The 22,856-nt window shown below is 36.2% G+C and overlaps 1 protein-coding gene across 4 annotated transcripts in view; it reads left to right on the top strand.

The window, feature by feature from the left end:
* The window catches only part of CCDC73 (coiled-coil domain containing 73), a 227,865-nt gene that overhangs the window by 179,074 nt on the left and 25,935 nt on the right, over positions 1-22,856 (top strand). For all 4 annotated transcript variants that reach the window (XM_047427029.1, NM_001008391.4, XM_047427030.1 and 1 more), the window contains 2 exons: positions 9,430-9,540; positions 15,682-15,816. In XM_047427029.1, coding sequence (XP_047282985.1) covers positions 9,430-9,540; positions 15,682-15,816 — 246 coding nt within the window. The remainder of the gene's footprint in view (positions 1-9,429; positions 9,541-15,681; positions 15,817-22,856) is intronic.

The raw sequence follows: 22,856 nt of genomic DNA, 5'->3' as shown, positions 1-22,856 counted from the left end.
TCCTACTCCTCGTTCCCGTCCTGCCACTGGTGCAGTTTGACTGGGTCACATTTGGGGGAAAGGTCTGTGTTCTACTGTTGACCTTTACTCTTTTGTTGGGGTGTAGGTGCAGGCAGGGAGGGCCTAGGTTGTGTGCATGTACCCCACAGTATTTTGGGGTGAGACATAACAACAGTTGTCTTTGTTGCAGGTTGGCAGTGCCTTCAAGTGTTAGGCAGGTGACTTGGTGGGGGTCTGCAGGGAGGATGAATCCCCAGTCCAGGTACTGAGTGCATACCTCCTGGCAGTTGCAGTCCCTTGAGAGTCACCCATTTGCCATGGGTTGGGGTGAAGGCCCCATGGGAAGGGAAGATTCTCTTCCCCACCCACGTCCAGGACATAGTAGATGGGTCTAGCAGCTGGCAGGACAGGGAACCTGGTAGCTGGTGGCTCTCACTCATGCTGAGTTGTGTGATGAGGCCCTTAGGCACCTTATGAGGGTCTGTGTTTGCCTGGTAAGTATCCCCAAGCCTAGGGGATCATGATATTAAATAGAAAATAAAAAGCACCATGACAAATTGAAAGAGAGGGAGGGTCTGCAAAGAAAAGAAAAAGTTGTATATTTTAGTACCTTTAGTAGCACTTTTTTCCCTGTGTTTTTCATTTTGTACCAGGCCCAACAAATTATGCAGAGTCTATCATTGAATGGAACCAAATTGAACCTGAGCAATGCAACATTTATTAATATCTCCTCACCATTGATGTTCTATGGCTTATCATGTAACGAAAGTTTTGCCTTCCTTATTTCTCTTACGTGTCCCAAATACTATAGAAGAGGGAGGGAGAGGTGGTATCCTAATGTCAGACCTCTCCCTTCTTTTAATCCCTTCACCTATTCTGATATAAGACTAGCAAAAAAAGTTTCTCTGAAAGTCCAGCTGTTAGCAAGTACTAACCTCCCATCTCCCCTGCCCACTCTATAGTTAGATAATTGGAACTATTTCTCTAATATGTTGAACCTTCTCCCAAGCAACATATGATATAATTTAACTAGGTTCTTTATGAATAGCTGTTACCAAGAGCATCTTCTAATCCAAATAAATGAGCTGAAACATAGATTTTTAGGCCAAACACAATATTAAAGATCATCTAATCCAACCATTTCATTTAATGAAAAGAGAGACCCAGGAAATGTACACAGTGTGGTTCAAAGCCTCAAAATTAGTGACAAAATTAGGATTAAATCTGTCGTGATTCTAATCCAGCACTATTTCTATAACATACTGTTAAGATATTTTTCCTAGATCTATGACAGCTTATCTAGCAATTTTGTTAGATCAGTTATACTAAGATCATAACTCTTAACTTGCCCCTTCATGAGCTCTAAATCCAGTACTTACATACTGCTGAATTCTACAGAGCCTATATACAGTTACGTGTTTCTCTGAGTTAATGGTGACTATAAATATAATTCCAGGATATTTTGACTGTGACTACCAATCATTAGATAATCAAATGCTTCTCTCTTTTTCTCTCAAATGCCTTTCTTTTTAACTGCCACAAGTATTACCTGAACCTTGATAGTATATAGAGAAGCTAGATTTTATAAAACTAAAATTTTAAAGTATTGTCAAAAACAGAATTGTCAGCTTTTTATTTTGGTAAGTAAAGATATTAAAAATGCAAACAATACAATCTATCATTACTATCATTTTATGAAAGAGAACATTTTAACATCAAACATATATTAAGGACATAATCTCAGGATAAAGGATAGTCCTTTATAAGAAAAGACATTTGATGACCTTATATTGACATTTTTTGCCATGGACTAGTGAATGTTTTGTCATGGATCAGTACTTGTCTGCAGACTGGTATCTGAGAACCACTGAAATATAGCATAACAAAATATTAATGTTGAACTGTTGCTGAGGATTATGTTGCATAGATATCTCAGGTGTTTTCTTGAGGAGCATTCTCATTCTACCTGTACTAAAAGGGATCATTACTCTTGATAATGGCCAACTGTTTTTCAGTGCTCTGCAATCATGCTGTCATCTGTCTTACTTTTCTAGTAGTAAAATTTAGAGCATAGAAAGCTAAATTCTCATGATAGGAAATATTTTCTATTGTGATTTAATTATAGTTTAGTCCAGTTATAAGCATAGTTATGTTCCTGTAGTCATAGTATTAACAAGAATAATATATTTAGTTTTTTTCATAGTATTTTTTCATAGTATTAACTAGGGTCATTTAGTTAGTTTTTGGAAGATTAAAGCATTAGCAAATGGCTTCATTGTGAACTTTCACAATATCAATTTTTTTCAGAGATGGTTTTCAAAAGAGAGAGGCATTTGGATTATCTAAGTTATTGGTAGTCATAGTCAAAAGATCCTGGAATTATATTTACAGTCACCATTAACTCAGAAAACACATAACTACATATTTATGACTACCATAGGCGCTGTAGAATTCAATGGTACATAAGTACTGGACTTAGAGCTCATGAAGGGGCAAGTTAAGAGTTGTGGTCTTAGTGTAGCTGATCTAACAAAATTGCTAGATCAGCTCTCTCTGTTATCCAGATGCAAAAATACCCCAAATAATTTCCTAATAGAATATACTATACTTAATCTTAGCCAAAAGGCCAGGAAACAATCCCTGTTAGAATATAAACTCCATGGCCTGGCACAGTGGCTCACGCCTGTGGTCCCAGCGCTTTGGGAGGCCGAGGTGGGTGGATCACCTGAGGTCAGGAATTCGAGACCAGCCTGACCAACATGGTGAAACCCCACCTCTACTAAAAATACAAAATTAGATGGGTGTCATGGCACATGCCTGTAATCCCAGCTACTCGGGAGCCTGAGGCAGAGGAATTGCTTGAACCTGGGAGGCAGAGGTTGCAGTGAGCTGAGATTGCACCACTGCACTCCAGCCTGGGCAACAAGAGTGAAACTCCGTCTCAAAAAAAAAAAAAAGAGTATAAACTCTTTAAGGACAGCAACATTTCCACTGATGTAGCATAAAAAGCTAAAACAGTGTCTGGCACATCATAGCAGCTCATTAAATTTTCTTAATGACTGAAAGATGAACATGAATAAACTCATAGTCTTTCTAAGTTTAGATATTGCCTGGTCAGGACTTCTAGTTAAGCATGTTTAACCCCACATTACATATTTTTGAAACTGCAATAAAATGACACTAATATATCCACAAGGACAAGGAAATGGGGAGGAAACAGTAATAGTACTAAAAAGTGGGAACCAGATGGACAATGGTAATTTACTTAGCACAAGAGAAGAAGTAGAAACGAAATCAAAGGTGCAGAAATGGTCAGGATTTGCAAGTATCATGTGCCTCTAGAAGTACAGTATGCAGCTGAAGGCAGAAACTAAATCTATATAAGAAGCCATTGCAATCCCATATTTTCTTTCCCACCCTGCCCAAGTAGACAGTGCTCCTCTCCTACTTTGCAGAAGATTGGAGGTTTCTGTTGGAGAATCTGAGGAACAGCTGAGGTTTGGGGGGAAGGGGATCTAGTGGTTTGCTGGAGCCAGCTTTTGCCAGTGGGGGCTGGTTGTTAGATATTAAGGAATTTTGTGAACTGGTTGTTAAACCAATGGTAGTTTGAAATTAACTATGATGTGAATATTTAACATGAATGAAAATGGCAAATGCCTCAAATCAGGCTTTTTTTTTTTTTTTGAGAGCTAGTTTATCAGTTTACTACTACGAGTATGATATTGACAAGAGGTTGGAAGTCTGAATTCTAAATGGTGAGACCTTCCAGCCCAGTATCCTCATTGAGAGGGCAACTAGCCTAACTCTCTGGCAGAAAAATGGAAGATTCCTTTCAGGGGAAGCTAACCTGCCCGAGAGAAAAGACTATAGCTGCTACAGTTAAGCTTTCCCAGTGAAATAGCTCAGCCAGATCAATCCACAGTGAAACCTACCATTTGACAAAACTTTCAGCCAGCATTTTAATACCTCATTTTTAAATATGAATAGGTAGTTAAGGATTACTGGACATTTGAAGAAAGCCTCTGATATGGTTTAGATATTTATCCACCCAAATCTCATGTTGAGATGTAAACCCCAATGTTGGAGGTGGGACCTGGTGGGAGGTGTGTGCGTCACGGGGGCAGATTCCTTATGGCTTGGTGCTGTCCTCAAGATAGTGAATGATCTCGTTTTCACGAGATCTGGTTGTTTAAAAGTGTGTGGCACCTGCCTGCCTTGCTCTTGCTCCTGCTTTCACCATGTGATGTGCAAGCTCCCACTTCACCTTCCACCATGAGTAAAAGCTTCCTTAGGCCTCACCAGAAGCAGATGCCAGTGCTATGCTTCCTGTACAGCCTGCAGAACCATGGGCCAATTAAACTTCTTTTCTTATAAATTACCCAGTCTCAGGTATTTCTTTAACAATGCAAGAACAACCTAATACAGCCTCCAATATGAAAAACAGACAAAACAAATAGGATAATGAAAAAACCTTGTAGAAACTAAGAAAGTATGTTTAGTTAAAGGGAATATGTTAATCTACAAAACAAGAATTTTGAGTTTATAAAGAAACTCAGAGAATAAACGAGAGCCCTTTAGATAAATATATTAGCAGACATAAAAAGTACAAAGGAAAGGTTGGAAGATAATACTGTCTTCTAAAAAGTAGAACCAAAAGACAAAAAGATGGAAAACAGGAAAGGAAATTGGGGGGTCAGTTCAAGATGTCTGGTGAGTGTCAGAGAGAGAAGAGAGAAAATAGAGGGAGAGGAAATGACCAAAGAATTAATACAAAAAAGTCATCCAGGCCTGACAGATGTAAGTTTATCTTGCCCAATACCAATGCATATCATTATGAAATTTTGTACAACACATAAAGAAAAGATTCTAAAATTGTACAAGAAAGTAGGTAATATACAGGGATTAAGAATGAGAGTGGTAACACAAGGTTTCAGACTTCTCAGTGGCAACACTGGAACGTAGAAGACAATAGAACCATGCCTTCAGATGTTGGGAAAAAATTGATTTCTGAAGCAGAGTTGTATTGTATTTAGCCAAACAAATTGCCGAGTATTGGTAGAATCAAGACATCTTCAGACATATAGGGTCTCAAAAAATTTACCACCCTATGCCTCCTTTATCAAGAAGTAGTAGAATGTTTGTGCTACCAAGACAAGGGAGTAAACCAAGACAGGAAACTATGGGATCTGGGAAACAGGAGACTCATGACAGAACTGAAAAAGGGTATCCTCAGAGATAACCTAATTTGTATAGCTGACAGAGAGAAGTAGGTCAAAATTGTAATGAAAGGATGGATGTCTCCAAAAAACTGAAATCGAGAGAATACCTGAAGTAGGTAGTTTCCTTTAGATAGAGTTATTGGGTGCAGACAAGAAATGATTGATATTGCTAGTGCACTGTTTTAAGAGCATGATGTTCTTGGCCAATTATTATTACTAGGATAGAGACTGTGGTTTATTCTCCCATATCTTCTCTAAAGTTTTATTTGTTTATCTTCTAAAATACAGTATGTTATCAATAAAAAAATTTGTTAGAATGTTAAAGTACTAAGCATCTATTATACACACTATAAATATTTAGAAACTACTCTGTTTTATAGTTATGCACCACATAACAATGTTTTGTCAGTGACAGACCACGTGTAAGATGGTGGTCCCATAAGATTATAATGGAGGTAAAAATTCCTATCATCTGCTAGTATCATAGCCATCATATTGTCATAGCACAACACATTACTCACACGTTTGTTGGTAATGCTAGTATAAACAAACCTGCTGCACTGTCATATAAAAGTGTAGTACATACAATTATATGTAGTACATAATACTTGATAATAATGACTGTTACCAGTTTATGTATTTATTATACTATACTACTTATCATCATTTTAGTTTACTCCTCCTATTTATTAAAAAAAAAAGTTGGCCAGGCGTGGTGGCTCATGCCTGTAATCCCAGCACTTTGGGAGGCCAAGGCGGGCGGATCACGAGGTCCGGAGTTCAAAACCAGCTTGACCAACATGGTGAAACCCCGTCTCTACTAAAAATACAAAAATTAGCCAGTGTGGTGGTATGCACCTGTAATCCCAGCTACTCAGGGGGCTGAGGCCGGAGAATCGCTTGAACCTGGGAGATGGAGGTTGCAGTGAGCCGAGATCGCGCCATTGCAGCCCAGCCTGGGCAACAGAGCAAGACTTTGTCTCAAAAAAAAAAAAAAAAAAGAAAAAGAAAAAGAAAAAAAAGTTAACTGTGAAACAGCCTCAGGCAGGTCCTTCAGGAAGTATTCCAGAAAAGGGAGTATTATGATAGGAAATGACAGTTCTGTGGGTATTACTGTCCCTGAAGATTTTCCAGAGGGAAAATATGTGGAGGTGGAAGACATAATATGGATAATCCTGACTCTGTGTAGGCCTAGGCTAATGTGTGTGTTTGTGTGTTAGTTTTTTTTATAATATTTACAGTGGCTTTATTAATATTCATTAAAAACTAGAAATAGCATAAATGTTCAACCCAGAGGTCAATGTGTAAACAAACTATGGTGCATCCATACAACAGATTACTCAGCGGTAAAAGAGAACCAACTACTGATTCACACAACAAAATGGATGAATCTCAAATGCATTTTGCTAAGTAGATGAAGCCAGACTCAAAAGGCTACATACAGTGTTGTTCCGTGATTCCATTTATAGGGCATTCTACAAAAGCCACAATTAGAGAGACAGAAAACAGATTATTGATGGTCAGTGAAGAATAGGGGTGCTGCAAAGTGGCCCAAGGGAACTTTTGGAAGTAATAAAACTGTTCTCTATATCTTCTGGGAGTTACATGAACATATGTATTTGTTAAAATGAACAACTGGGGAGGGGAAATGGGAGCTCCTGTTTAATGGATTCAGAATTTCTATTTGAGATAATGAAAAAGTTCTGAACATGGATAGTGGTGATAGTTGTACAACATTGTGAATATACTCAGTGCCACTGAATTATACACCTAAAAATGGTTAAAATGGTAAATTTTATGTTACATATATGTATTTTTAACTTTTAGGTTCAGAGGTACATGTGCAGGTTTGTTACATAGGTAAATTGAGTCTCACATAGGTTTGGTGTACAGAGTATTTCATCACCCAGGTAATAAGTATAGTACCTGATTGGTAGTTTTTTGATCTCCCTCCACCCTCAGTAGGCCCTGGTGTCCATTGTTCCCTTCTTTGTGTCTATATGTGCTCAATGTTTAGCTCCCACTTATAAGTGAGAACATGTGGTATTTGGTTTTCTGTTCCTGTGTTAGTTTTCTTAGGATAATGGCCTCCAGCTCCATCCATGTTGCTGCAAAGGACATGATCTCACTCTTTTTATGGCTGTGTAGTATTCCATGGTGTATATGTACCACATTTTCTTTCTTCAGTCTACTGTTGATGAGCATTTATGTTGATTCTGTGCCTTTGCTATTGTGAATAGTGCTGTGATGATGTGTCTCAGTTTTTGACCAAAAAATTTAAAAAGGAAAAATATAAAAATTTAAAAATAGAAAGCTTATAGAATAAGGATATAAAGAAAGAAAATATTTTTATACAGCTGTACAATCTGTGTGTTTTAAGCTAAGTGTTATTTCAAAAGAGTCAAAAAGTTAAAAAAAAGTTTGTAAAGTCAACTAAGCTTGATTTATTATTGAAGAAAGAAAAAATTAAAAAAATTTAGTGTAGCCTAAGTATACAGCATTTATAAAGCCTATATTGGTGAGTAATAATGTCCTAGACCTTCACATTCACTGACCACTCCCTCACTGACTCACCCAGAGCAACGTTCATGGTAAGTACCTTATATAGTTACATGTGTACCATTTTTAATCTTTTATTTTTTTACTGTACCTTTTCATTTTTACTGTACCTTTTCTATGTTTAGATATCCTTAGTTATAAAAATACTATTGTGTTACAATTGCCTACACTAGTCAGTGCAGAAAGATGCTGTACAGGTTTGTAGCATAGGAGCAATAAGCTATACTATATAGTCTACGTATACCATTAGTAGGCTATACCATCTAGGTTTGTGTAAGTACACTCTATGATGTTCATACAGTGACAAAAATCACCTAATGATGGAATTATCAGAACATATCCCTGTCTATAACCAACACATGACTGTATATACCTATAAATTAAGGACCTGTTACTTTTATAAAAATATCTATGTTATCCTGAAACAGAGGCAATCAAAATAGATATTCACTGGGTACTCTTAAAATGCATAGCTTCTTATGAGCAAGAGGAGAATCTCCATGTTAAAATTGTAAAATTCGTATTAGATATGTTGCCATAATTTTACATAATTTATCTTTGCATACTGATATTCTAGATGTAATTGAGAATTCTCTAAATAGATGGAGTACTATGAATAATATGGAATTCAAATGAGATGGATTTATATATGTAATATGGAAAGTAAGCAAAACTTTTTTTTTTAAAGAAAAGCAGATGACAGAACAGTGTATGATATGGTCTCATCTGTATTTAAAAATATATATATATTTTACGTACTTTTATGGTTATATAGACAATTTCTGGAAAGATATACAAGAAACTGCTACAGTGGTTACTTCTGGGGTGGAAAACTGAGAGAATAACTTTACTTTTTTTAAAAAAAAAAATCCTTTTGTGTGGCTTGACATTTTTAACCTGAATGTGCATAGCTTTGTAAACAACTTAAAGATTCCAAATGTATTAGGCATGTAGGTAGGAGTTCTATCACTGTTTATCTTTTTATAGAAATTTACTTGGATTATCAGCAGACATTGGAAAAACCTAATAATATTGATGACACTGATTTAATAGCTTTAAAAACCTAGTCTTAGAAAACACATGGTAGTATTTTTACTCTATAAGTTTATTTTGTGGGAGGGAGAGTGTGGTAGTGATTCTGTTATGTTAGTTCAATGAAGTAATTAAGTTAATATGGTAAATATTTAAGTTATACTTAAAAAGTGTTAATTTGAAATTAAAATTAAAATTGTATTTAAGAGTTTTCTAGCCAGTTAATTTCTAAAATAAACAGATAATGGAAAAAATGTTCTATGGTAGTTAAATTTCTTTAGTAGAGTTAGGCTGGATCGTGCTACATTTCATACTTTTCAGTGCTGTACTTTATATTACCTTTTCAGCACATTAAAACTTATGCAGTGAAACTGAATAATGGCAATGTTTTTATACTCTTTTATAGCCATTTCTTTATCAAAACCTCCCCCTATTTTCTGTTAGCTAAACTATAAGCACCTTTCCATTAATTTATGAAAATTATTGTTGAGATAGCACATTATCACTGATCTGTATGGCACTTTCAGCATGTTAGAAGCAAAGGTCCAAGCAACATAAAACACATCAGAATTCATTAATGTGGTATTGATTATTTTTTGGATAATTAATTTTATTGCAGACCCTTGAAAGAGATAATGAGCTGCAAAGGGAGAAGGTAAAAGAAAATGAAGAAAAGTTTCTTAATCTTCAAAATGAGCATGAAAAAGCACTAGGAACTTGGAAAAGACATGTAAGTTTATTAAATAGAAAAATATTAAAATATTTTAAATAGTTTTAGACATTTAAAATAACTATAAATGCTAAGAAAATATTGCAAAAATATTAGAGGACTAAAATCAGACACATTTTTTTCTTGGTCTCATATTTCCAAAAAGGTGAATGCTTTTTAAAAGCTAAATTTAATGAAATTCCCTGTAATGCTTTTATGCATGGAAGACCACACAAATACATGTTTGTGTATATATGCATGCATATATATATATATACACACACATATATATATATAATTTGAGCCCCCATGTGACAAAGAAAAATTAATTTACTTTTTCATAAAACCATTGCATAGTATTTTAGTAAATGATTAAAATAATTATATATGTACTATTATTAACTGATCTATTTTGCTTTCCTCAGCAGTTTTGTTGAGATATATTAGAGCCATGTTTAGAACATGTGTGCAGTAGTTGACTTCTGTAGTATTACCATTTTATCATATTAACAACATATCATAAGGGTTGTTGTATTCTAAACATGGCTGTTTCCTTAAATCATATTTTTTTATTTTATAATAATTTTTAATTCAGCAAGGTAGATAATAGTGTAAGATGAGGTGAAATCAAGTTGTGAAATATAAAGGTTCACTTTAAACATTGGTGGACCCCAAGATTGATTATTCTATGCTAATATCAATTTTAATTGCATTTTAAATTCTTTTTAAATAAATGACAGAGTAGAAAGTCACTATGAGTTTATGAAGCTATATTTTGGGAAGGTATGATTATGTTTTAGACTATTGTGCTAATTATACTATGCAATATATTATAGTAATGGATATCTAAATACCAGCTTGATAATATTTTCTGTAGATTATTTTGTTTGATTCAAATTATTACATAAGTAACTCTTGATTTGATTCACTTGAAACTAACATGTTTTCTTTTCTTTTCTTTTCTTTTTTTTTGGTGGGGGACAGAGTCTCACTCTGTCCCCCAGGCTAGAGTGCCGTGGACGGATCTCTGCTCACTGCAAGCTCTGCCTCCTGGGTTCACACCATTCTCCTGCCTCGCCTCCTGAGTAGCTGGGACTACAGGCACCCGCCACCACGCCCGGCTAATTTTTTGTATTTTTAGTAGAGACAGGGTTTCACTGTGTTAGCCAGGATGGTCTCGATCTTCTGACCTTGCGATCCGCCTGCCTTAGCCTTCCAAAGTGCTGGGATTACAGGCGTGAGCCACATCGCCCAGCCGGAACTAACATGTTTTCTTAATTTATAGTTTGGAGACATCAAGTCTTCACTGATGGTTTTGCTAAGGTTTACTTAAATCTAAGAAAAGTTTTGTATTTAATTTTATCAGAATACTAAAAAATCGTTAAATGGTATACTAGTACAGTTTATCATTAGGCAACAAGCATAGTAATGTTCATTTTAGCATCAGTTAATCTACATTTTATCCATGTACCTTCTTTTCATCCCCAGTGTTTAAAAGCCCATGGAAATGGTGCTATCAGGATAAGGAAAACTGTTTAAGTGAAAAGGAAATATAAACTTAAATATGCCAAACTTGCAAAAAAAACCAAAAAGATCAGTTTAGCTAAGAAAATTAAACATTCATTTTCTCTGAGACTACAACCATGCTCCTCTCTCAAGAAAAAAAAGAAAACTATTAAGAAAAATAAGCAGTTTCACTGGTGAGGCCTCAATCTATAAATGTGGATAAAGTCGGTTTTATCTTAGAATTTTTAAGTTCTGCAATCATTTTGCTTCCATTATGATTTGGTACTCAACAGAATATAGATAAGTAAGAAAAAGCTGCCTTGGTTCGATAAGAGTTTTCTTCAGTGGGAGATCACATTTACTTTTTAATTGTATTTCTATCTGTAAGTTTTTCACCATTCTTGAGTGAAGGGCAATAGTAGTGTGGCTACTGAGATTGGATCAAGATAGGTTAAAAAAACAAAGATACTGATAAAAATAAATTGGAATCATGTAAACTGCTGTTTCATATTTGGTCATTCAAAAAAATAAACAGTGAAAGAAAATACTATGCTAATAAAACTTGCATATTATTAGATAGTATATTTAAAATTCATTGAAATATTAAAAATAACAATGTTATGTATATCTTTTTATTTTGACTAGATATATAACCAATGGTTGTTATATAGACAAAAAAACAATAAGTGAAAATGTTCAGAAATTAGGGAAAGGGAGGTCACAAAAAGAATTCAATTTGGCCGGGTGTGGTGGCTCATGCCTGTAATCCCAGCACTTTGGGAGGCCAAGGCAGGTGGATCACCTGAGGTCAGGAGTTCAAGACAAACCTGGCCAGGATGGTGAAACCCTGTCTCTATTAAAAATACAAAAATTAGCCGGGCGTGGTGGTGGGCACCTGTAATCCCAGCTGCTTGGGAGGCTGAGGCAGAGAATTGCTTGAACCCAGGAGGTGGAGGTTGCAGTGAGCCGAGATCGCACCACTGCACTCCAGCCTAGGCAACAGAGTGAGACTCCATCTCAAAAAAAAAAGGAAAAAAAAGAATTCAATTCACAACACTTATTGAGCATATACTATGTGTTAGACACTATTCTAGGCACTGGGTTTTCAAAGATGCCTAAAATACAAGGATTATCAAAAGAGCTTACACTCTGCAGGGACAGATAACTATGGAATTAATCACAATAGTGCAAGGTACTTTTTAGCATTATTAACAAAGTACTATGAAAGCACAAAATAAATCATTTTCTTTAGCTGGGCTGGAGAAAGTTTTAGAGAAAAGATGACCCTAGAATTTGGCTTCAAAAGATGGAATAGGATTTTTTGGGGGGGGTGTCGGGGAAGATGGAGTCTCGCTCTGTTGCCCAGGCTGGAGTACAGTGGTGCGATCTCGGCTCACTGCAACCTCCACCTCCCGGGTTCAAGCAATTCTCCTGCCTCAGCCTCCCGAGTAGCTGGGACTACAGGCGCAGGCCACCATGCCCGGCTAACTTTTTGTACTTTAGTAGAGATGGGGTTTCACTGTGTTGCCCAGGCTGGTCTCGAACTCCTGAGCTCAGGCAACCCACCTGCCTTGGCCTATCAAGGTGCTAGGATTACAGGCGTGAGCCACTGTGCCTGGCTGATGAAATGAGGTTTAAGCATAAGGTTCCCATCTCCACCCTTCCCATTCCATCCTGTTGGCATTTCATTTAAAAAACAATAGAACAATCGGCTGGGCACGGTGGCTCATGCCTGTAATACCAGCACTTTGGGAGGCTGAGGTGGGCGGATCACGAGGTCAGGAGATCAAGACCATCCTGGCCAACACGGTGAAACCCCGTCTCTACTAACAATACAAAAATTAGCCAGGCATGGTGGCACATGCCTGTAATTCCAGCTACTCGGGAGGCTGAGGCAGGAGAATTGCTTGAACCTGGGAGTCAGAGGTTGCAGTGAGCCAAGATCGCCACTGTGCTCCAGCCTGGCGAGAGAACAAGACTCTGTCTCAAAAAATAAAAATAAAAAATAAAAGAAATAGAACAATCATGGAGGCATGAAAGTCCATTTTCAAGGACCATGAATAGTCTGCTCTGATTTAAAAATGGGATGTGTGAAATGTGACATTGGAATATAGGTTGAGATCAGCTTTTGAAGACTTCCTTACTAGGAGATTAGAATTTAAGTAATGGGAAGCCATTGAAGGGTTTAAAACAAATAAGTGACACAGGCAGATTGTGTTTTAGAAAAATAATTCTTGCAACAGTATGGAGGATGGCTGTATGGAAAGAAATCAATAAGAAGAATGTTGTAATAATCTAATCATGAACCTATGAGTCTGTGAATTAGGACAGTACCACAATGAAGAGGGATAGATGCAGGATGAATTTTGGAAGTAGACTTGGTATGGTTAGTGACATTTTATATATAATGGATATTGGGAGGGGAAAAGACATCAAATAGTCTCAGGTTGGTATAACTCATAGAATGATAATATCATTAACTAGCTTAAGGAATGTGAAAGGAGAAGCAGATTTTGTGGATGAAAATAATGAGTTTAATTTGAGAACTGTAGAATTTATGGTGCTTTTAGGACATCTAGCTTGAAGTGCATACTATCCATTTGGAGATGTTAATCTACTCCTAGGAGAGAGGTTGGGGAGGAGATATAGATTTAAGATTTATTAGCATAAAGGTGAAATTTGAAGTTATAGGTGAAATAATGTGGAAAGAGTGGAACACTTGAAGGAAGAGTGCTTAAGAAGAAAGAACCTTGGGTTTCTTATCCCAGGAAGCAAGAAAAAAGAAGAAAGAACCTTGGGAAAAGCCAATATTTTGTGAGTGGGGTGTGTGTGTGTGTAAGAGAGAGAGAGGAGAGGGGTGTGTGTATGTGTATGTGTGTGTGTGTGTTTGGGGGCAGGAGGGGAGAGGGAGCTGGTAAGACAGGTAGGAGGATAAAGAGAGAGTACTAGCATGGAAGTCAAGAAAGGAAGCTGTTTCAAGAACAGAGTAGTCAACATGGTCAAATGCTACAGAGCTATTAAATGATGTGAGACTTGGAAAAAATCCTTTTGCTAATTTGCAGGTGATATTTGAGAAAACAGTAGAACAATGAGGGCAGAAGTCAGGGTATTAAGGAGTGATGGGAGGTTAGAATTTGAAAGTAGCAAGTATAGACTTTAAGAAATGAGAAAGACAGGGCCAGGCTCAGTGACTCATGCCTGTAATCCCAGCACTTTGGGAGGCCGAGGTGGGCGGATCACAAGGTCAGGGGTTCGAGACCAGCCTGGCCAACATAGTGAAACTCTCTAAAAACACAAAAATTAGCTGGGCGTGGTGGTGCAAGCCTGTAAGCCCAGCTGTTCGGGAGGCTGAGGCAGAAGACTCGCTTGAATCCAGGAGGCGGAGGTTGCAGTGAGCCAAGATCACGCCACTGCACTCCAGCCTGGGCAACAGAGTGAGACTCCTTCTCAAAAAAAAAAAAAAAAAAAAGAAAAAGAAAAAGTGAAACAGACAGAGGAACTGGGTCAAGGAGGAAAAATATTAGGAATGTGTGTAAAGCATATTTGTAGGCTGACGAGAAGATGCTGGTGTAGTGTGAGAGATTGAGAATAGGAAGAAGAAAAGAGAAAATTCCTAGAATTAGGACTTAGGAAGATAGGAGAGGAAGGAATGAAGAACACATGGAGAGTTTAGCCTTGGAAAAGAAATACCTTGCAGAGATAGATTTAAAGATGATTAAAAATAGATGAAATGAACAGAAAGTAACATGAGTTTACACCTACTGGCCTCTATATAGGGCTTTATAGAGGAATATTAATTATAAAAATATTAGGAATAGTAATTATAGTATTTATAATAAGGAATATTACAAGCACTAGTGGAATTTGTGGTAGGAGTTTTAAAATTGTTCAAGAGAAACTTTTATAAGAAACTTTTAAACTTTTATAAAACCACAAATATACTTTTCCATGACAAAAGGATATTTTTCGCCTCAGTGGAACTTACCTTGGCTCATATTTGAGGCTTCTGTGAGAGTACTCCTTTCCCCAAAATCAAGTTTATGAAATTTTATAGGGAGTGAAAGTCTAATTTATGGATATAAATATACGGCTGACATGTCAGTTTCTGTGGTACCACTTAGTGCTTAGTACTCATCTAGTGGAATTCAAATCTGTATGTGCAATTTGTAACAAGAAAATTAAACTTTAAGAAAACAATGGAAGTATAATGTTTGTAGAATATAAAATTCATAAATTCTTATTTATGAATTTAATTTTTTGTTTTTTATGAATTTAAATAAATTTTTTTATGAGACAAGAGGTAGTTTAATATTGTCATTAAGGACACGGTCCTCAGATTTAGCTTTGGAATTAAATCCTCACTGCCATTTTGTATCTACTTGATCTGGGACAAGTTACTTAACTTCTGTGAGCCTCGTATTTCTTACCTGTAAATTGGGCATAATAATACCTCATAGGGTTTTGCTGAGTATGCAGTTATGCTTATTAAGTAGTCAGCCCAATTCAATAAATGGTAGCTCTTAATATTAGTAATGACTTTGTGATTGTTTTGATTCTTTGACTATTTCCTGAAACTTTTGTTAATGAAATATTTTCAGACAAAACATATTTATATACTTGATATACTTGTTTATTCTGGTTCCTTTTTTATAATAGGCTGAAGAACTTAATGGAGAAATTAATAAGATTAAAAATGAATTATCATCCCTTAAAGAAACTCATATTAAGTTACAAGAACATTATAACAAATTATGCAATCAAAAAACATTTGAGGAAGACAAAAAGTTTCAGGTAAAATTTAAGTATGTTGTGGGGTACAAACTATCAAAGAAATTAAGACTGTCACTATGATTTTTTTCCCTGTTTTATACTTTAAGTTTCTCAACTTTAAAAAAATGAGTATATGCATATGGTCTCTAATACATTTTTAGTTAATTTTTGTATACAGTATGACATAAGAATTGAAGGTCATTTTTTTATATGAATTTCCAATTGTCCCAGCACAAATATTTGTCGAAAACACTATTTTCTCTCCCACTGTACCTTAGTACTTTCTTTGAAAATCAGTTGATCAAATATATATGGGTCTATTTCTGGACTCTTTATTATGATCCATTGATTATATGTCTATACTTAAGCCAGTACAACACTGTCTTTATTAATGTAGCTTTTAAAGAAGCTATAAAACGTAGCTAAGTCCTTCAATATTGTTCTTTTTCCAAAAAAGCTTTTTCTATTCTAAGTCCTATATTTTCTTATCACTTTTAGAATCAATGTCTCAATTTCTGTTTTAAAAGTCTGTGGGTTTTATTTGGCATTGAGTCTTCCAGTCGATGAACATGGTATAGCTTCCATTTATTTGGATATTTTAAAATGTCTCTCAGAAATGTTTTGTAGTTTTTATCATATAGGTCTTGGAAATTTTAGGTTAAATTTATTCCTGGATATTTTATGTCTTGGGATCCTAATGTAAACAGTGCTTACAATTTTTATAATTGTTCTTTGCTTATATATAGAAGTACATTTTTTTCAAGACAAGGTCTTACTATGTTGTCCAGGCTGTACATGAACTCCTGGGCTCAAGTGATGCTCCCACTTCAGGCTTCTGAGTAGCTGGGATTACAGGGATGAACTGCCATGCCCAGCTTAGAAGTACAATTGGTTTTTGTATATTGACCTCATTTTTAAATTAAGTTATTGTTATAATAGTTGTTTTCGTTGAACTTTGGGGGTTTCTATAATATATGATCATGTTGTCTGCAAGTTTAAGACAGTTTTACTTTCTTTCTAAAATGCTGTATGCTTTTTCTTTTTCTCAATTTATGCACTAGCTAGGACCCTCTAATCTAATGTTGAATAACAATTGTGAGAGTGGGCATGCTTGCCTTGTTTCTCATCTTAAATGGAGACTAGTCTTTCACCATTTCTTATCATTTTAGCTATATGTTTTTGTTTATACTCTTTATCAGTTTGAGAACGTTTCCTTTCATATCTGGTTTGCTGAGCTTTTATCACAAATGAGTTTTTATCATGAAAGGACATTAAATTTTGTCAAATGCTTTTTTCTGTGTCTATTAAGATGATTGGGTTTTTTTTATTCTTTTCATATTAATTACATCAGTTGACTTCCAGATGTTAACCTGCATTCCTGGGATAAACTTGAGTTGATCATTATATATTATCCTTTTTATATATGGCTGGACTTAAATTGCTAGTGCTTTGTTAAGGATTTTGTATTGATGAGGAATGTAAGTTTTGTTTGTTTTTTCTTTGCAATATTTGAACTGGTTTTTGCGTCAAGAGTAATACTGGTCAAGTAAACTCAGTTGGAATATATTCCTTTCAATGTATAGAGTTGGTATGATTTCTTTATTGAATGTTAGGTCTAATTCACCAGTGGAGCTATGTAGACTTTCTTGGTGGGAATATTTTAAATAACAAATTCAGTATTTAAATTATTTACAGGGCTATTCAGATTCTCATTTCTTCTTATGTTGGTGTGCAGGAAAGAGTTAACATAGCACCCCTGTGAATGCTGTACTTAGAAAGACCTCCTAGCAAAGTTGGCCCCTGGCTGATGCCTGGAAACTTGAATTTTGGGAGGATTCTCACCATTTCCTAACAAGAGTGGCTCACTGTACCTAAACTATTAGTACAAACAATGTGGTTTATTCTGAACAACTGCTTTCTTTCTGGGATTCTAGAATTTTGGCACATGCTACATAGAGGGTACCTGCATGAACAGCACCCTCCCCCAAAAAACTTTGGGTGCTGAGTCTCTAATGAGCTTCCCTGGTAGACAGCAATTCACATAAGTTGTCACAATTCAATGCTGTAGGAGTTAAGCTTGTCTTATGTGACTCTATTAGAAGATGACCTTTGGAAGTCTGGTTTACTCCAGACTGCAACTCATGTGCCTTTTCCTTTACCTATTTTTCTTCGTATTATTTCTCTATAATACATCTTAGTCATGTGTATGGGTATATATTGAGTCCTATGAGTCCTCCTAATGAATCTGATTTGGGGTGTTGTGGGACCCCAAAAGAGCCAGTTGGGGTAATTTTTATCTTTCAAAGAACTTGTCCTTTTCATAAGTTGTCAAATTTATTGGCTAGGGTTGCTCATAATATTCTCTTATTATTATAGTCCTCTAGGATCAAATTGATGCCCCTCTGTCATTCTTGATATTTGTAATTTGTATCTTCTCTCTCTCGCTCTCTGTTTGTCTTGATCATTTGAGTTAGAAGTTTTCAGTTTTATTGATCTTTTCAAAGAACCAGGTTTTGGGCCAGGTGCAGTGGCTTACTCGGGAGGCTGAGGCAGGGGAATCCCTTGAACCTGGGAGGCAGAGATTGCAGTGAGCCGAGATCGTGCCACTGCACTCCAGCCTGGCAACAGAGTGAGACTCCGTCTCAGGAAAAAATAACAAACAAAAAACAGGTTTTGATTTCATTCATTTCTCTCCCATGTTTATTTATTTGCTATTTCATGGATTTTTGCTATTAATTTTCTTATTTCCTTTACTCTGCTTACTTTGGGTTTAATTTGGTTTTCTTCTAGCTGCTTAAGCTTGAAACATAGATTATTTACCTTTCTTCTTTTCTAATATAAGCACTTAAAGCTATAACATTTCCTCTTAGCACTGCTTTGGTTCCATCCCACAAACTATGATATGTAGTTTTTTCATTTTCATTCGGTTAAAAAAACTATATATATATATTTTAGTAAAGTATACACAACATACACACACACATATAAACATGAAGCAAAAACTGACAGAACTGAAAAGAGAAAGATAAATTCACAGTTATAATGAAAGATTTTAACATTCTTCTCCCACTAATTGATAGAACAATTATACACACATACACACACACACACACAATCTGTAAGGATACAGAAGACTTGGACAATACCAACTAACTTGGCCTAATTGACATTTATAAAACATTCCACCAACCGGCCGGGCACGGTGGCTCACACCTGTAATCCCAGCACTTTGGGAGGCTGAGGCGAGTGGATCACCTGAGCTCAGGAGTTCAAGACCACCCTGGGCAACATGGCAAAAGCCCGCCTCTATTAAAATAGGAAAAATTATCCGGGCATGGTGGCACGCGCCTGTAGTTCCAGCTACTTGAGAGGCCGAGTCACGAGAATTGCTTGAGCCTTGGAGGCAGAGGTTGCAGTGAGGCAAGATGGCACCACTGCACCCCAGCTTGGGCTACAGAGTGAGACTCCGTCTCAAAGAAAACAAACAACAAAAATAAACCTTCCACCAACCAACAGCAGAACACACATTCTCTTCAGCAGCACATGAAATATTCACCAAGATAGGCAATATACACAAAAAATAAGTCTTAGTACATTTAAAAGGGTTAAAGTCTTACCTAGAATGTTCCCTGACCACACCTAAATTAAATTTGAAGTCACTAACAGAAATATATTTGGAAAATTCTCAAATGTTTGGAAATTTAACAACATATTTCCAGTGGGTCATACTCATACCCATATCCATGGGTCAGAGAGAACCTCACAAGAGAAATCTTAAAATTTTTGAGCATGGACAACATAGCAAAATCCCATGTATATATCTCTGTGTCTGTCTGTCTATCTGCCTGCCTGCCTGCCTATATGTCTATTGAAAGAGAGACAGGGTCTTGCTCTGTCACCCAGGCTGGAGTGTAGTGAGTGGTGTGATCACACCTCACTGCAGCCTCAATCTGCCAGGCTCAAGCAATCCTCCCACCTCAGCCTGACTATGGGTGCACACCACCACACCAGCTAGCTTGCTGCTTCCTTTCTTCCTTTTCTTCCTTTCCTTCCTTCCTTTCCTTCCTTTCCTTTCCTTTCCTTTCCCGTCCCTTCCCTTCCCTTCCCTTCCTTTCCTTCCTTTCCTTCCTTTCCTTCCTTTCCTGATGAGGTTTCACCATGTTGCCCAGGCTCAAAATATTTTAGGATTTTTCTTGTGGTGTCTCCTCTGACCCATGGGTATTGAGTATCACCCATTGGAAATATGTTGTTTAATTTCCAAACATTTGAGAAAATTCCAAATATCTTCCTATTAATGATTTCGAATTTAATTTGGTTTTGGTCAGGGAACATTCTAGGTAAGACTTTAATCCTTTTAAATGTACTAAGACCTATTTTTTGGCCAAGTGTATTATCTATCTTGGTGAATATTTCATGTGCTGTTGAAGAGAATGTGTGTTCTGCTGTTGGTTGGTGGAATGTTTTATAAATGGCAATTAGATAAAGTTGGTTGGTATTGTCCAAGTCTTCTCTATCCTTACAGATTGTGTGTGTATCTGTGTCTGTGTTCTATCAATTAGTGGGAGAAGAATGTTGAAATCTTTAATCATAACTGTGAACTTATCTTCCTCTTTTCAGTTCAGTCAGGTTTTGCTTCATGTGTTTGTAAGTCCTGTTATTAGCTATATGATTTATGATTGTTATGACACATTTATTGTTCTGATTTCCTGATTGACCTTTTTATCATTATGAAATATCCATATTTATCCTAGTAATATCTCTTGTCTTAAGGTGTGTTTTGTCTGATAATAATATAGCTATTTCATCTTTTGATTAACATTTGTATTATATATCTTTTTCATCTTGTTACTTTTTTATGGGAGTAGTCATATTTCCTTTTCTTATGTTGAATTATAACATGAGGAAATCTTTAATGTTCTCTTTTTTTTGAGAACTGTTGATTGTATTTTGTTACTGTAGTAAAATGTACATATTGTTTGCTATTTTAACCATTTTTATGTGTATAGTTCAGTGGCATTAAGTACATTCAGAAGTGGGCATGGTTATGTACCAGTAAAATTATATTTACAAAAACAGCTGGGTGCAGTGGCTGATGCCTGTAATCCCAGCACTTTGGGAGGTTGAGCCAAGTGGATCACTTGAGGTGAGGAGTTCGAGACCAGCCTGACCAACATGGTGAAACCCCATCTCTACCAAAATGCAAAACTTAGGCAGATGTGGTGACGTGCGCCTGTGATCTCAGCTACTTGGGAGGCTGAGGCAGGAGAATCACTTGAACCCAGGAGGTGGAGGTTGCAGTGAGCTGAGATCCACCACTGCACTCCAGCCTGGGCAACAGAGCGAGACTCCATCTCCCTCTCCCTTCCCCGCAAAACAAAACAAAACAAAACAAACAAACAAAAAAACAGGCAGCAGGCTGCATTTGGCCATTTGACTGTAGTTTGCCAATCCTTATTCTAGAGTTTAATTTATCGTGTATACTTTCCAATAATATTATACCAAAGTTTATAAGAAACTTGCAATACTACATTATCATTTTCTCCTTCCTGTCCTTTGTGTTGTTGTTATCATACATTTTACTTCTATATGTTATAAAACCTACCATATATTATTTATTTCAGAGAATTATCTGACAAAGAAAATTAAAAATGAGATAAAGTATCTTTTCTATTCACCACCACATTTACCACTTCTGTCACTCTTTATTCCTTTGTTTAGATCCACATGTCCACCTGGTATATTTCTTCAACCTGAAGAACTTCCTTTTAACGTTTTTTTTTTGTTTTTTTTTTTTTGCATATCTGCTGGAATTCTTTCCAGCTTTTGTTTGTCTGAAAAGGTGGTTTATTTCTCCTTAATTTTAAAGAATATTTTCACTGGATATAAAATTCTAGATAATTTTTCTTTCATTAATTTTAAGATGCCATTCCATTTTTTTTTTTTTTTGGCTTGCATTGCTTCTGGCAAGAGGTCTATGACAATTCTTATATTTATAACCCATCTTTATAAGTGTCTTTATATCGGCTGGGCACGGAGGCTTACGCCTGTACCAGCACTTTGGGAGGCCAAGGCGGGCAGATCATGAGGTCAGGAGATCGAGACCATCCTGGCTAACACGGTGAAACCCCGTCTCTACTAAAAATACAAAAATTCGCCGGGCGTGGTGGCGCATGCCTGTAATCCCAGCTACTCAATAGGCTGAGGCAGGAGAACGCTTGAACCCGGGAGGTGGAGTTTGTGGTGAGCCGAGATCGCGCCACTCCAGCCTGGGCAAACTCCGCCTCAAAAAAAAAAAAAAGTGTCTTTATATCTCTGACAGCTTTTAAGATTTTTCCTTCATGTCTGTTTTCAAGCAGTTTGATTATGATGTACCTTGGTATGGTTTTCTTGGTGCATATCTTGCTTGGAATTTATTGAATTTCTTGGCTATATATAGTTTTCATTAAATTTGGAGAAGTTTTGGTCATTTCTTCAATTTTTTTTTCTGTCCCCCTCTACTTTCTGGGACTTCAGTTACACACGTTAGACTGCTTAATATTGTCCCACAGGTTACTGAGGATCTACTGCATATTTTTTCAGTCTTTTTTTCCCTCTCTGCTTCAGTTGGGATTGTTTCTGTTGTTATGTCCTGAAGTTCATTTGTATTTCTTTTTTAAATGTCTAATCTGCTATTAAGCCTATTCAGTGAGTTTTTAATTTTATTTACTGTAAATTTCATCTCTAAAATTTCCATTTGGTTCGTTTTTTTCTTTTGGGATTTAAAATTTTTCTCTTCATTATGTTCGTATCATTGTCCTTTAAATCCTTGAACATTTGTAATAGCTGTTTTAAAGTTCCTTTGCTAATTCTATTACCTCTGTCATTTCTGTATTTGTTTTGATTACATTATAAATAGTGACATAACAGGTAACATTTTCCTGCTTCTCTCCCTGTCCAGTAAATTTTTATTGTGTTAGAACATTTTGAATTTTACATTGCTGATTGCTAGATTTTGCTATCTTTATTTCAAGAATGTCAAAGTTTCACAGGAGGTTAAGTTACTTGCTGATAAGCTTCATCAT

The sequence above is a fragment of the Homo sapiens genome, chromosome 11, assembly GCF_000001405.40.
Source record: "Homo sapiens chromosome 11, GRCh38.p14 Primary Assembly".
NCBI classification, from domain to species: Eukaryota; Metazoa; Chordata; class Mammalia; order Primates; family Hominidae; genus Homo; species Homo sapiens.
This window is presented reverse-complemented; position numbering and strand designations above follow the sequence as displayed.